Source organism: Homo sapiens, chromosome 6 (assembly GCF_000001405.40).
Source record: "Homo sapiens chromosome 6, GRCh38.p14 Primary Assembly".
Lineage (NCBI taxonomy): Eukaryota > Metazoa > Chordata > Mammalia > Primates > Hominidae > Homo > Homo sapiens.
The window spans coordinates 83,101,864-83,117,527 of NC_000006.12; the positions used below are offsets into that span (position 1 = coordinate 83,101,864).

At 35.2% G+C, this 15,664-nt stretch overlaps 1 protein-coding gene across 50 annotated transcripts in view, besides 1 other annotated feature; it reads left to right on the plus strand.

Moving 5' to 3' along the window:
• The window catches only part of DOP1A (DOP1 leucine zipper like protein A), a 103,680-nt gene that overhangs the window by 34,193 nt on the left and 53,823 nt on the right, over positions 1-15,664 (plus strand). For 38 of the 50 annotated variants that reach the window (NR_169791.1, NR_169790.1, XM_017010559.2 and 35 more), the window contains 3 exons: positions 7,047-7,217; positions 8,262-8,451; positions 11,460-11,558. Coding sequence is in view for 46 of the 50 variants with exons in the window: in XM_017010559.2 (XP_016866048.1) it covers positions 7,047-7,217; positions 8,262-8,451; positions 11,460-11,558 (460 nt within the window). In the remaining 4 variants the exon portion in view is untranslated. The remainder of the gene's footprint in view (positions 1-7,046; positions 7,218-8,261; positions 8,452-11,459; positions 11,559-15,664) is intronic. The other 12 variants (XM_017010570.2, XM_047418440.1, XM_047418445.1 and 9 more) reach the window with 3 other exon arrangements.
• Positions 9,465-9,989: an enhancer, noted in NCBI's record as "NANOG hESC enhancer chr6:83821047-83821571 (GRCh37/hg19 assembly coordinates)". NCBI's record gives its function as "activates a minimal SCP1, AML or CMV promoter by ChIP-STARR-seq in primed H9 embryonic stem cells {active_cell/tissue: H9 hESC(primed)}" and the evidence as "EXISTENCE:reporter gene assay evidence [ECO:0000049][PMID:30033119]".

A 15,664-nucleotide genomic window follows, 5' to 3' on the forward strand; every position in this document is an offset into this window, starting at 1 on the left:
TTTTTGTGTATGTGGCAGGAGCAGTTAAAATCTATTTAGTAAAAATCCCAAATAAAATATTATTAATTATAGTCTTCATGTTGTACATTAGATCTCTAGATTTGTTCATCTGACATTTCCCATTTTCTCCTGCCCTTGGTAACAACTGTTTTATCTTCTATATGCTGACTCCCAGCTGGACATTTCCAGTGCTGGCAGCAGCTTTAAACTCCTGCTTGCTTGACATCGCCATATAGATCTTTAAAGGCAACTAAAGTTCAACCTGTTTAAAACTAAACTTTCCTCTTCTCCTATTGACCTGACCTTCCTGCAATGTACTGTATTAAAGCTCAATAAATGGTATCACCATCTATCCATTTATATAACCCTCAAATCTGAGAGTTACACTTGTTACCTTGTTTTCCCCACCCACATTTTCCCACCTCCGGTGTACACAGTCTGTTGTTCAGAGTTATGTCTCATGGTGGTTAAGAGAAGAGATGGCAGGGTCAAACTAGCTCTGTGATCTGGGGCCATTGTCCTCACCTGTTTGTGTTTGTGTCCTCACTTGCACAACAGAAATAAGATTATCAACCTCATAGGGTGGTTAATAGAATTGAAAGAGTTCATACATGTAAAATGCAATGGGCAACTTACAGTAAGTTCTTAATACATGTTAGCTACTATTCTGATATATGTCTCAAATACATCTACTTCCCTGAACCTTCACTGGCAGCATGCAGTCTAAGTAAGCATCATCTCTAGCTCAGGCTTCGTCACTGGCCTAACATTGATCCACCATCTGTTCTTATCCTCTTCTACCCTGTTCTCCACATAGTACCAGTGTAATCTTTTTAATATATTAAATAATGTTACCGTCTTGCTAAAAAGTCTATTGACTGCTTCTCAGCACACTTCAGAAAAATTAAGAAAAAGGCTTTAACATGGCTTTGAAGACTTTACTTCCTGAAGTACTCTGACCCTGGCTTTGTCAGTGACCTCAACTCTTAATAAACTAAAACTAAACTATTATTCTTTTCCCCCCAGTTTATTCCACTCAGGTCCACAGGTCTCTTTGCTTATTATTACTCATTTTCTTTGCTATTCTCTTGCCCTGTAACTCTCAAATCCAGGTCTCTGATCAGATATCAGCTCCTCAGAAGACTTGCTTAATTATCATCTGAAATGGCCCTTCTTCCACATTTTTATCCCTAGTATTCTATTCTATTGTGATGTGTTTTTAGGTAGGTTTTTATTATTATTATTATTTATCCTGTTGGTATTTGTTGGACTTTAAAAAATCTGTGAATTGGATAAAAAGGAATGAAATAATGGCATTCACAGTAACCTGAATGGAATTGGAGACCATTATTCTAAATGAAGTAACTCAGGAATGGAAAAACAAACATCGTATGTTCTCACTTGTAAGCGAGAGCTAAGCTATGAGGATGCAAAAGCATAGAATGATACAGTGGACTTTGGGGACCCAGGAGAAAGGGTATAACAGGGTGAGTGGTAATAGACTACACTTTGGGTACAGTGTACACTGCTTGGGTGATGGGTGCACCAAAATCTCAGAAATCTCCACTAAAGAACTTATTCATGTAACCAAACACCACCTATTCCCCAAAAAAACCATTAAAAAAATTTTTTAATCTATGAATTGATGCCTTTCACCAATTTTGGAAAATTTTCAACCACTATCTTTTGAGATTGCCTTCACCACATCTGTTCTCTCCCCACTTATTAGGTCTTCCCACTATGGCTTCTCCATCTCTTAACCATTTTTCATATTTTCTAACTTTTTGTCCTTATGTGCTTCATTCTCAGGAATTTCTTCTGACCTAGTTTCCAGGTCACTAATTCTGTCTCTCCTTTTCTTAACGACTTAACTTTTCTTTTAAACTGTTGATATAATTTACATTCAATAAAATGAACAGATTGTAAATGTTCAATGTGATGAGTTTTGACAAATTTAGTCAATTTCGTAGCCACTGTTCAAAATAAGATATAAAACATTCTTGTCAACCCAGCAAGTTCCCTCCTACCCCCTTCTAGTGAAAACCCCTACTATCCAACTATATGTATTACCCTTATTCTGCAGCTTAACTTTTAAAACTTTCTAAATGGTATCTTTGAAGAACCAAAAGTTCTTTATGCTGTCTTTTGAAGAAAGTTTTTTTTAGTTTAATGAAGTCTGATTTATCAACCTTTTATTAAGTAGTCCTTTTTGCTTCTTATTTAAGAAATCTTTGCTTGGTATATTGCTGCTAGAATGTAGAAATATGAAGGTGTTTTTCTGTATTGACATTGTATTCAGACACTTTGTCAAGTTCACTTGTTCTTTCTAATAGCTTTTGGAATTTTGAGATATAGTCACACTATCTGTGAATGGTGAGTTTTCTTTTCCGATTTTAATAATTTCATATCTTTTTTTGCCTTATTGTATTGACTAGGGTCTATAGTAAAGTGTTAAAGAGAGTAGGGGCAAGTATATCTTTGTCTTATTTCTCACTCCAGGTAGAAAATGTTAAATATTTTTGAAGGTTCAATCAACCCTTCATTTCTGGAATATATCCAGTTGGCTCATGATTTAGAATCCTTTTTTTCCATCTTTGTTTAGTAGAGAATGGCTATGATTTTACATTTTTATCTAATTTTGTTTTCTAGTATATGTTAACTTTCAAATTGTTCTCGTATTCTGTTCTCTGGAACAGTTCTCATAACATTGGTATAATTATTTAGAAGGTTTTATCTGAAATTTATCTTTGTGGGAAGATTTGTAATTACAGATTAATTTCTTTAGTAGTTATGGGACTATTCAAATTTATTTATGTCAGTTTTAATAAGTTTTTTCTCTCAAAATTTGCCTACTTTTACTAAATTTTTAGATGCATCAGCCTAAAGTTCTTAATATACTGTTATCTTTGTAGCATGTAGGATCTATAGTGATGTCTCCTCTTTCACTCTTGATATTGGTGACTCAAGCCATCCTTTTTTTTTAATTGATCAGTCTTATCAGGAGTTTATCAATTTTGTTAGTCTTTTTAAAAACCAACTTTTATTTACTGATCCTTTCTACTGTGTATGTGTTTACTCTCTCATTTTTGCTCAGATAAGCTCTCTCTGACCACCCTATTTAGAACCTGTCTATGCTCCACTCTCCTTGTTATTCTCCTGTAACTTTTTCTTCTCTGCTGTAACATTTATCACCATCTGATATGTATGTATGTATGTGTTAAGACATATAATAACCAAACAATTAAAATATATACATATATACTCTCCAAAAAATAAGCTTTATGAGGTTAAAGAGCAGGAATTTCTTACTGTGATTAAGTGTTCTATTCTCAGTATCCTGAAGAACTGACAGATAGTATACCCTTAATAAATATTTGTTTAATGAATAAAGAAACGCTATTTGTTATACTCAATTCTTTGATATTTTAAAATATTATTAAAGAGAAGTGAGCAAGGAAATATTATTAAAGAGAAATGAACATGGATGTCTTTCTTTTTTTTTTTTTTTTTTTTTTTTTTTTGAGACAGTCTCGCTCTGTCACCCAAGGTGGAGTGCAGTGGCACAATCTTGGCCCACTGCAACCTCCGCCTCCCAGGTTCAAGCAATTCTCCTTTCTCAGCCTCCCAAGTAGCTAGGATTACAGGCACATGCTACCATACCCAGCTAATTTTTGTATTTTTAGTAGAGACAGGGTTTCACTATGTTGGCCAGGCTGGTCTCGAACTCCTGACTTCGTGATCCGCCTGCCTCGGCCTCCCAAAGTGCTGAGGTTACAGGCGTGAGCCACTGCGCCCAGTTGAGCATGGATGTCTTAAAGATAGTATGTAAGGCCAGTAAAGGTATTTTTGATAGTAATAAATAATACATTCAAAGAATGATATTAAGAAAACTGAGCATTGCTGAATCAGTGTTGCATGTAATTATCTAATAATTGGTAGATTTTCCTTTCTCAAGGCAAGATTTACATAATTCATGCCTGCTACTTTCTAACTCTTAACAGAAAGTTTAAGCAACACAGTTATTCTTCAGTTGTAGTATACCTATTTTTATCATTAGTATGTTACGTAAAATTAAATCTAGAATACCATTTCTAAATATGGCAGATATTCTTGTACACATACACACACGTTATGGAGTAAATGATACCATTGTTCTATACTTTTTTGAAGTATAACTATTTTAAAAACTAAAGTTTATATTAAATGTAGATATGTTTATTTTTAATTAATGATTTTTTCATCTCAAGGTTTATGGTTTAACATAATTAAATACAAATACTTTTAAAGTTCTATAACCTATTACATGATAGAATACCATATTGCCTCTTCAAGCTTATTTCTTTTTAATGTGATGCAGTGCACAAAGATGTTAAGAAGGCTAGAAGTGGAGTTTTGAATGCCTTAAAATATTTAGATGAGTATGTAAAGTGAGCTTTTGGTAATATAAATCTAGATTGCAGACTAGACAGATACTATAGAGCAGTCAGCATTTAGTTGGCAGTTGAAGCCAAGAGAATAATTGAAATTACCTAGGTACATTGTAAATAACAAGGAGGAAAAAAGGAATGAGATCATTTTAAGAGTATTTAGGAGTCTCAGTATTTAATATCAGGTGGGGGAAAGTAGCCAATGAAAAAGAGTCAGAAATAGAAAATGTACCAGGAGGCCGGGCTCAGTGGCTCACGCCTGTAATCCCAGCACTTTGGGAGGCCGAGGTGGGTGGATTACCTGAGGTCAGGAGTTCAAGACCAGACTGCCCAACATGGTGAAACCTCATCTTAACTAAAAATACAAAAATTAGCCTGGTGTGGTGGTGAGTGCCTGTAATACTAGCTACTGGGGAGGCTGAGGTATGAGAATCACTTGAACCTGGGAGGTGGAGGTTGCAGTGAGCTGGTTGCACCACTACACTTCAGCATGGGCAACAGAGTGAGAGTCCATCTAAAAAAAAAAAAGAGAGAGAGAAAAGAAAGGAAAATGTACCAGGAGACAAAGCAGTCCTGAAAGTCAAAAGGGAAGAGCGCTTCAAGAGAATGCTCTGGTTAATAGTATCACATGTTAAATAAAATAGGATAAGGTCTGAAGATAGAGCATTGGATCTGGCAATTGGTGGACATTGGTGACCAAAATGAGAACAGTTTCAGTGGAGGAGGTAGAAGTATCGTGATTGATTAATGATGGAAGATAAACAGAAGAAATTCATAAAAATATATATATATTTTAACAGTTGATAGAGTTTGGTAGCTTTAAGCCAGAAGGTTAGTTAGAATAAAGATTTTGGGGTTTGGTTGTTGCTGTTTTTTTTTCTCGTTTTAGAATTATGAGGAAATATGTGAGTACATTTGTATTAAAAAGCAAAGATGTCAGTTCGGAAAGAAAAATTACAGAAAAGAAAAAAGATAATGGATGAAGCAGGTCCCTGGACAGGCGGGTCATGGCCCTGGGGCACATGGGAAAAAAGGTAGCCTGGAAGAGACTGAGAGACTGTGACTGTATCTTTAGATCAAACAGTACCTAAAATGGGAGACAGAAAAGTAGAAAACTGAAGCCATTCTTTCTTGATGATTTCTGTTTTTTATAAACTAGGAGCAAGAGAGATTCCTAATTCATTTGTTCATCACTTGCTAAGTACAGGACATGGTGCTTGAAACTTAGGATACAGAAATAAAAATATAGTCATGGTCCTTTGTTTTCTGATATTTACAGTCCGTTGGAAGAGATAGACATTAAGCAATTCAAATAAAGAATGATAAGTGTTTTAGTAAGTGAATATTGGGTACTATGAGAACATCAAATAGGGGGCCTAACCTAGTCTAATTAGGAGATAATCTCCCTAAGGAAATGGCTTCTTAGGCTGAGGCCTGAAAGTTTGGGAATCCCCCAGACAAGGAGGGTATAAGTAAGGGAGTGGGAATTGTATCTGTCAGAGCAGCATATGGAAAGGTATGGGCACTAAAAAGAGCATAGAAAGTTCCGAAAGGAACTAGAAAGGAATTCTTCAGTATAGCTGGAGCAGAGGGTACAGGAGTAAAATTGGTGAGTATCAGTGGATTGTACAGAGATATGTAGTAGCCATTTCTTAAAAGATGTTAAAGTCCACATTGGCAATGGGAAATCAGTGAAAGGTTTTACTGAGAGCTGCTTCAGGGCAATAATGAACCAATACATGTTAAAACATGAAGAGCAAGATATGATAGCAGCTGCTTCTAGGTAGCTATCTGGTGGAGATACAATTTGTTATATTCAAAAAATATCTAGGAGAGTGACTTGGAGAGAGAACTTGATGACCTTGATAACTGATTGCAGGTTAGAGTAGAAAATTATTTTATTTTTGGATCCAGGCTGTCACTCTGTCACCCTGGCTGGAGTACAGTGTCATGATCACAGCTCATTGCAGCCTCTACCTCCCAGGTTCAAGCAGTCCTCTACTCTCAGCCTCCCAAGTAGCTGGGACCACAGGCACATGCCACTGTGCCCAGCTAATTTTTATTTTTTGTAGAGATGGGGTCTCACTATATTTCCTGGGCTGGTCTTAAACTCCTGGGCCTAAGCAGTCCTCCCACCTCCGCCTTCCAAAGTGCTTGGATTACAGGCATGAGCCAACTTACCCAGCCATGTTAGAGTAGAAGATTTTTAAAGCTACTCATGAGGCTGAGGCAGGAAGATTGCATGAGTCAAGGATCAGTCCTAGATTTATAGCTTTTGGTCAGCCAGATAGATAGTGATGCCATATTTTGAAATTGACAGTTATTACAGGGAAGGCACATGTTTTGCTGGGGCACATTGGGGGAGAATTCTGTTTTTGGAATTGTGAAATATGAGGACTTTGTGAAACAGCTAGGTAGCTATTGGGTTTATAAGTATAAAACCCAGGTGAGAGAACTGGTCTGGTTTAATGGATGTAGTCATTCATATACAGGTATCATTTTTAAGCCAATCAGTATAACTTTTTCATCAGAAAGAAATATTTATACATATAATTGCATATGAATTAATATTGTATAGTTATTTTGCTTCCTTCTCCTTTGTCTTTATTTTTTTAATAGTTCTGGATTATTTCCTCTTCTTGCAAATGCTGCCATGTCTGTGAAACCAACATTGCTCAGTTTGTATGAGATATATTATCTGCCTTTGGGTAAAACACTGAAACCTGGTCTACAGGGATTGCTTACTGGTATTCTTCCTGGCTTAGAAGAAGGATCAGAGTACTATGAGAGGTAAGATCATATTTGGTGCAGTTATGTAATTGAAGTCATGGATTTGTCAGCAAGCATATTTAGGTCAAATATGTTTTAACATCACAAATGAATTATTCTAGACAGTTCAGTATATCACATGAATATTTCTATAGCAATGAAACATTATTATAGTTTATCTAGTCTATGTATCATACTGAAAATATAGCTAGTGATAAAAGCATAGACTTCGGAGGTGGATGTACTGAGTTGAAATCTTGCCTATACAGACACTGAGCTTAGGGAAGTTTTCTTAGTGTCTGAACTTTATTTAGTTTCCTCATCTTTAAAACAAACATAATACCTATTTATCTGTGTTATTCTAATAACAAATCACTTAGTCCTTAGCCAAGCACATATAAGTCACTCAAGAAAATTGTGACCCATAATTTAAAATAATATAACAGGACATTTAGATTAGTGATAAGAATGGAAGATTAGTCCATGCACTAACAATTTTTAAGTTGCTAATGGGAGAAAATAGCTTAGTACCAGTACAGTGCTGTTTCACTAGCTGTTGACGTGGTACTCTTGATATCTAACTATTCAAACAAAGTTATTTGATCTGTTTGGACCCTATTATTATTTTCGGGGAGTTAATATTTGTAGGCAATGCATGATGGCATTAAGTATCTCTAATATCTCATTACTAATATTCTTATTAAAAAACTAAAATGTATATGGTATTTTATTACTTAGCGTACTTTAACAACCTAGTGAGGTAGATAGGTCTTGTGGTGGAGTGTTTTGTTGTTGTTGTTCTCTTCATTTTACAGATGAGGAGACTGAACTTAACAATGAAGTGACTTCCTCAACATATACAGCTAGTAAATGGTGGAGCCAGGACTTAAATTCAGTCCTCTGACTCTAAAGTATATTCTTCTTTCAGTCTATCACACTTGTTTCCAGGGTGGAACATATGACTGTAGCATGGGTGTTTGCATACATTTTTGGAAAAGAATGATTTATTTTTTAAAATATGAAACTAAATGTTTCCCTTCTTAAACCACTTTATTTATACCTCAGAACAAATATGTTGTTGGAAAAGGTTGCTGCTGCTGTGGACCAGTCAGCATTCTACAGTGCCCTGTGGGGTAGTCTTCTCACCAGTCCTGCTGTGCGTTTACCTGGAATCACGTATGTTCTTGCCCATTTAAACAGGAAGCTTTCTATGGAAGATCAACTTTATATAATTGGCAGTGATATTGAGCTAATGGTAGGTCTAAAAATATGGTTGCTCATTTCACAAATATTTCTTTAGAGTCAGGCACTATTCCAGACATATATTGAGGATTGTATAATGAACAAAGTTCCTATTTTCATCGAGCTTACATTTATCAAGGAAAATTAAAGGCCAAAATAATAATTATTATTTTTAAAAGCTTAACTCCTGGACTCAAGTGATCCTCTCACCTTGGCCTCATAGCCTTCTTTATAAGAAGTGAATTTTAGATAAAGTAATATAGCCAGATTCCGTATGGAATTTATGTGAGAAGATGTACTAAAACAGATAGTGAAAGATAATAGGAAGAAAAATCACATTTATTGCTTACTTATACAATATTTTTCTTTTTAATTTCAAGATTAACAACAGAGGGCAAGCTTTATATCTCTAGGGTGCTATACTCTTAATATGAGCAAGGAATAAAAAACCCTCAAGGATCATTTTGAAAAATTAAACAATTTGATTGATCATACTTTACTTTTTCTGCATATGATTATGACATTACTGATATTTTAATGCATATTTCTGGTTAGATTTAGTGAAGTTAATTTATGTACACTGAAATTAGCCCTTCTTACATTGTAGAGTTACCTGAATTTTGGCAAGCACGTAGAGTCATATAACCACTATTGCAATCAAGACACAGAATATTTACATCACCCTAAAAAGTCCTCTATGCCTTTTTTTTAGTCACTCCCCTTCCTCTACACTCCCAGGCCCTTAGAAACACTGATCTGTTTACTGTTTCTATAGTTTTGTTTTTTCTAGAATGTTAAATAAATCATACTGTATATAAGTGGACTCATTTTTTGTGTTCTTTAAATCCACGTTGGTCAGGCTGGCCTCGAACTCCTGACCTCAGGTAATCCACCCACCTCAGCATCCCAAGGTGCTGGGATTACAGGCATGAGCCACTGCGCCTGGCTTGTGTTCACATACCATTAATCAGCTGATGGACATTTGGGTTGTTTCTATATTTTTTGGGTGTTAAAAATAATGCTCTATTGAACACTCATGTATGAGTTTTAGTATGGACATGCGTTTTCATTTATTTCGGGTATACATCTAGTAGTGCCATTTCCAAGTTTTTTGGTAACTCTGTTGAACTTTTTGAAGAACTGGCAAACTTTTTTCCAAAGTGACTGCACCAATTTTTATTTCCACTTGCAGTATATGCAGGTTTCAGTTTCTCCACATCATTGCCAACACAACACTTGTTATTGTCTTTTTTATTATAGTCCTCCCAGTGGGTATAAAGTATTCTCATTGTGGTTTTGATTTGCATTTCCCTAAAGACTAACGATGAACATCTTGTGGTTGGTTATTGGCTATTTGTGTATCTTCTTTGGATAAATTTCTATTCAAATCCTTTGTCCATCTTAAAAATTAGATTATTTGCCTTTTTGTTGTTGAATTGTAGGAGTTCCTTATATATTCTGGATATTAAACCCTTGTCGTATATATGATTTGAAAATATTTTCCCCCATTCTGTAGATTGTCTTCTAACATTCTTGATAGGGTCCCCTGAAGCAAAAAAGTTTTAATTTTGATCAAATCCAGTTCATCCGGACTTGATTTTTTTTCTCTTGCTGCTTGTGCTTTTGGTGTTATATTAGGAAACCATTGTCTAATCCAAGGTACCAGAGATTTAGTCTTTTTTCTTCAATGCGTAAGTTTATTAGAAACTGCCAAACTATTTTCCAAAATGGCTATGCTTTTTAAATTCAGGTTTTAAAATATACTGTTACATTTCTTTTGAATAACTTAATGGAAATTTTAAACAAATCATTTTTTACTTATTTAAACAAATGACACACATGGAAAAATATTTCCAAAATATCACAGTCAAAGGAGTATTCTTTCTAATATTCAAAGAGCTACTATAGATAAATAAAAACAAGTAGAAAATGGATTTGAACAGATAATTAACTTAAAGGAAATAAGAATAATTTGAACATAAAGAGATGATCAACATTGTAATAAAGAAATAAGAGTTTAAACTACACCAAGCCAGTTTTCATGTCAGATGGGCAAAAATACAAATATATATATATATATATAAAGCTAAGCAAGCATGTGGAGAAACAAACTGTCATGTAAAACTGGTGGGAATATAAAGTGATAGAAACCTAACATAAAGCATTATGCTATGTATTTATTGACACAGTCTCACTTTGTCGCCCAGGCTGGAGTTCAGTGGCACAATCTTGGCTCACTGCAACCTCCACCTCCAGGGTTCAAGTAAACTCCCTTGCCTCAGCCACCTGAGTGGCTGGGATTACAGGCATGCACCACCACACCCAGCTAATTTTTGTGTTTTTAGTAGAGACAGGGTTTCACCATGTTGGCCAGGCTGATCTCCAACTCCTGACCAAGTGATCTACCCACCTTAGCCTCCCAAAGTGCTGGGATTGCAGGCGTGAGCCACCATGCCTAACAGCATTATGCTATTTAAATTGTAACTGCACATACCCCAAGACCTGGCAATTCTATTTTGAGGAATTTATCTTACAGATGTAATGTAAGTATTATATATTGCAACATTATTTACAGTAGTGTTTAGAAATGTATAAGTGCACATGATTAGAAGCTTGGTTAAATAAATTAGAGTTCATTTATGAAATAAAATACTTTGGCCATTAAGAAATGAAGCTCTTTAATGACAAGGAAAGATCTCTAAAACATGTTAAATGAAAAAGGCAGGTTTGGAATATATATATATATGGTGTTTTTCTTGTATTTACAGGAAATATTCACTAGTAAAACTGGTGCCTACAAAACAGAAGTTGGATAGTTGGAAGTTTTGCTGTATAGTCTTACGTACTTCTTAATTTTTAAACCATCATTATATATATACTATTCAAAATAATGTAAATATCTTTAATTATTGATTAGATCCTCAGAAGCATACTTTCGAGAAAATAAAGAGTTGTCACATTTTCGTGGCAAAAATGTCTCAGCATAATAGACAATAGATGTTAAAGATGCTGTTATTTCAGGTAGAAGCAGTAAGTACTTCAGTGCAGGACTCAAGTGTACTTGTACAGAGAAGCACACTGGACCTCATACTCTTCTGTTTTCCATTCCACATGAGTCAGGTAAAATATTAACGCCGATGTTATTATAAGGCATTCTTGGAAAACTGTAGATTGATAATGTGTAGTTATTTTTTAAAGGCATGTGTGTTGAATTCTTCTTGTATAAATCAGTAAGCGCATGGAAAATAAGTTCCTTCTTAAGGAGTGGAATTTGTTGTGAAAAAAAACTAAAGATAAAAGCTTCACTGATTTGATAAGAATATGGTCATTGAAGTAGATTATTTCATACTTTTGAAAAAAGTTGTAACATATAAAAAGCAAGAGGTTCTCTATTGCTAACTCTGAGTAAGCCAAGACTGAGACCCAGCCATCATCTGTACTGGTGTTATGTTATCTTGTTTTGGTGATTTTAACATGCATGCCAGACCCTTGGCAGAGTTGACTATAACTTAAGAGCCACATGTTTAGCCACTGTGATATTCTATAGTACTTTTATTACAAATAAGTGCAACTAAGTTGACAAATAATAAATGAAGTTCATTCCTAGAACTTAATTTAATCAGTGCCCTCATTTTAAAAGAAAGGATCTAAATTCCTTTGACTTATAAACCTTGATGAAGAGTGATTTACAGCACCAGTATATAGGCATTCAGAATGGTGGAACTACATACCTAACAAAAGTAATAAGATATAGAGAATATCTACCTTGGAAAAGTAAATTTATTCCTAAAAAGGACTATTATTTGAGGTTTTCATAAGAACTGTGATTAATAGATAACTGTAGTGAATTTGCATTATGACTGGCCAATTTTTTATTCATTATTTTATTAACATTTTTCTTTTACTTATTTAATTTGATATTGAAATATTAATAACTAAATAATTCTACTCTTCCTTGTCTATACTTTGACTAATTGGAACATAAACCACTCTGTTTCTATTTTGAGACTTTCACCCTTCAACCAAGGGACTTTATTCTGCCCTCTGGCTTTTCACAAAAACAACTGTTGAGTCATCTCAGCGTAATCTAAATTTACCAATGCTCTATTATAGGGATGGCCAAACAGCAGCTCATAAGTTAAGAAAGATTTATGTTTTTTTAAACACTTAGAAAACAAAGAAGAATATGCCAAAGCAATGTATGTGATCTGAAAGTCTAAATTATGTACTGTCTGGATCTTTATCCAAAAAATTTATTGACTTTCCTCTTGAACTTTTCCCATTGCTTTCTTACTTTCCAAACATTCAACATCATTAGGCCCTCAATTGACAGATGTCTCAACAAGATCTGAGGAATTAAGTCATAGTAGACTCAAGAATAACTTAATTTGTAATCTTAATATATCAGCGTTTCCTAAGCTTTTCTCAGCCTGTACTTTCTTACTCTGCCTTTTCTGTATTCCTGCCAGCCAAAATGTTCTAGATTCTTATATTCTATAATATGTATTATGGAAACAATAGCTTCGTTGAATGTGTTTTTTAAAAGTATACACCCAGTTCTAATAATCTTATAATTCTAATACTTTTCTCCCCACTATGCTACCAAATTCTAATATAGTTCTCCCTATTACTGTACCAAACTGAATAAGGATTATGACGTAGGTACCTTAGTGTTCCACTTTCCCTCTTTCTATGTCTTACATATAATAGAATACAATCCAAGTATGGATTGTATTATAATTGTGACTTAACAGTGCCTTCATTACCATATCCCAAAAGGATGATAGTTGTTAGGAACTTCAGCAGTGGGATGGACTGCTACACTTCTTTAACTTGTTTCCTGGAAAGCTCACCCAAATCTGTAGTACTTACACCTTTGAGATTATAATAGACTTTTTTTCATATTAGAAATAGATGGTGATATCAATTGTAATCAAGAAGCAACTTCTTTTTTAAATTTATTTTTTAATGGACATGAATTGTATATATTGATCCTGTACAACATGATGTTTGAAATATGTATACATTCTGGAATCTGTAAATGGAGCTAATTAACATTCATTACCTCACACAATTAATTTTTACAGTGAGAACACTTAAAATGTACTCTGAGCAGTTTTTAAGAATACAATACATTGTGGCCGGGTGTGGTGGCTCACGCCTGTAATCCCAGCACTTTGGGAGGCCGAGGCAAGCGGATTACGAGGTCAGGAGATCGAGACCATCCTGGCTAACACGGTGAAACCCCGTCTCTACTAAAAATACAAAAAAAATTAGCAGGGCATGGTGGCGGGCGCCTGTAGTCCCAGCTACTCGGGAGGCTGAGGCAGGAGAATGGCGTGAACCCGGGAGGGGGAGCTTGCAGTGAGCAAGTGATCGTGCCACTGCACTCCAGCCTGGCGACAGAGCAAGACTCTGTCTCAAAAAAAAGAAAAAGAGAATACAATACATTGCTAACAACTATAGTTACCGTGTTGTACCGTAGATCTTTTTGAACTTATTTTTCCCATCTGAAATTTTTTATCCTTTGACTAACATCTTCTACTTTCTGCTTTCTTAAGTAGTTTTTCTCCCAAAATAAGATGGGGAGACATTTGTACTTTTAAAGATTTTGTGACAATATAATCTTCATATCTTATGTTGGATAGATCAGAAGTTCTCAAATGTTTTAGTTGTAGAACCCCATTACACTCTTTAAAAGTACAGAAGGTCCTCAAAAATCTTTTGCTTGTATTGGTTAGATCATCTATTGTGATTTGTTCTTTTGGTTAAAGTATATGAAGAAAATCTGATCTCACATTGATATGTAGTTGGAAAATCGAGGAGTATTTCAGTAGCATTTTCCGTTAAAATTACATATTCTTTGATATTATACCAAAACTTCGAAGCTGTAGATTTTAAAAATTAGTTACAATATTAAGTCTTAAACCACATCAATGAACTTTTCATATTCTATTCCACTAAAATCCACTGGTCTATCTTGTACTTTCAGTGGCTCTTTCAGTCATATGTGCTTTTGTAACTTCATGATTGGATATTAAGGAAATACTGGTTTATTGAATTATGCAGATTTTCCAAATGTTTTCACATTTTATTGTACAATACCAATCATGTTTATTACTATTGCCACTGATCTCATCAGTAAAGATTTTTAGATATTGGGAGAAACTTTTAAGCCCAGTATTGAGAAGCTTTCAACCAATTCAAATCAAAACAATACAATTTCAGCCAGATGCGGTGGCTCACACCTGTAATTCCAGCACTTTGGGAGGCCTAGGCAAGCAGATCACTTGAGGTCAGGAGTTCAAGACCAGCCTGGCCAACATGGTGAAACCCCATGCTCTAATAAAAATACAAAAATTAGCTCGGCATGGTGGCACATGCCTGTAACCCCAGCTACTCTGGAGGCTGAGGCAGGAGAATCACTTGAACCTGGGAGGCAGAGGTTGCAGTGAGCCAAGATTGCAACACTGCACTCCATCCTGGGCGACAGAGTGAGACTCCAACTTAAAAAAAATCCAAAAAATACAGTTTCAGTCTAAATGCAAGTTTTCCATAATTCTACTTTTCTCCTAGAAGCCCAACTTTTATTATTTGTCACGATTAATGTTATTTTCCTTGCAATGTCAGGCTCACTTTGAGGAAATGACTACAAAATGTCCAGGCCTGAATAATCATAATTCATATTAGTAATTCTTCGGGTAAAAATGGCATTCTTTGAGAAAGCTGGTAGTTAAGCTCACAACTCAGTTATACAATTGCTTTTCCTTAAGACAACTATCATACTTCAGTATACATCAGAAGTAATTTTAGTACTTTTTTATTTTATTTTATTTTATTTTATTTTATTTTATTTTATTTTATTTTGAGACAGAGTCTTTCTCTGTCACCTAGGCTGGAGTGCAGTGGTGCTATCTTAGCTCACTGCAACCTCTGCCTCCAGGGTTCGAGTGATTCTCCTGCCTCAGCCTCCTGAGTAGCTGGGACTACAGGCGCCAACCACCGTGCCCAGCTAATTTTTTGTAATTTTAGTAGAGATGGGGTTTCACCATGTTAGCCAGGATGGTCTAGATCTCCTGACCTTGTGATCCGCCTGCCTTGGCCTCCCAAAGTGCTGGGATTACAGGTGTGAGTCACGGTGCCCGGCCACATCAGAAATACTTTAAGTGAATCTTTCACTCTATTATACAGAATATTAAAAGACATGCACTCAAAGGTTGATACTT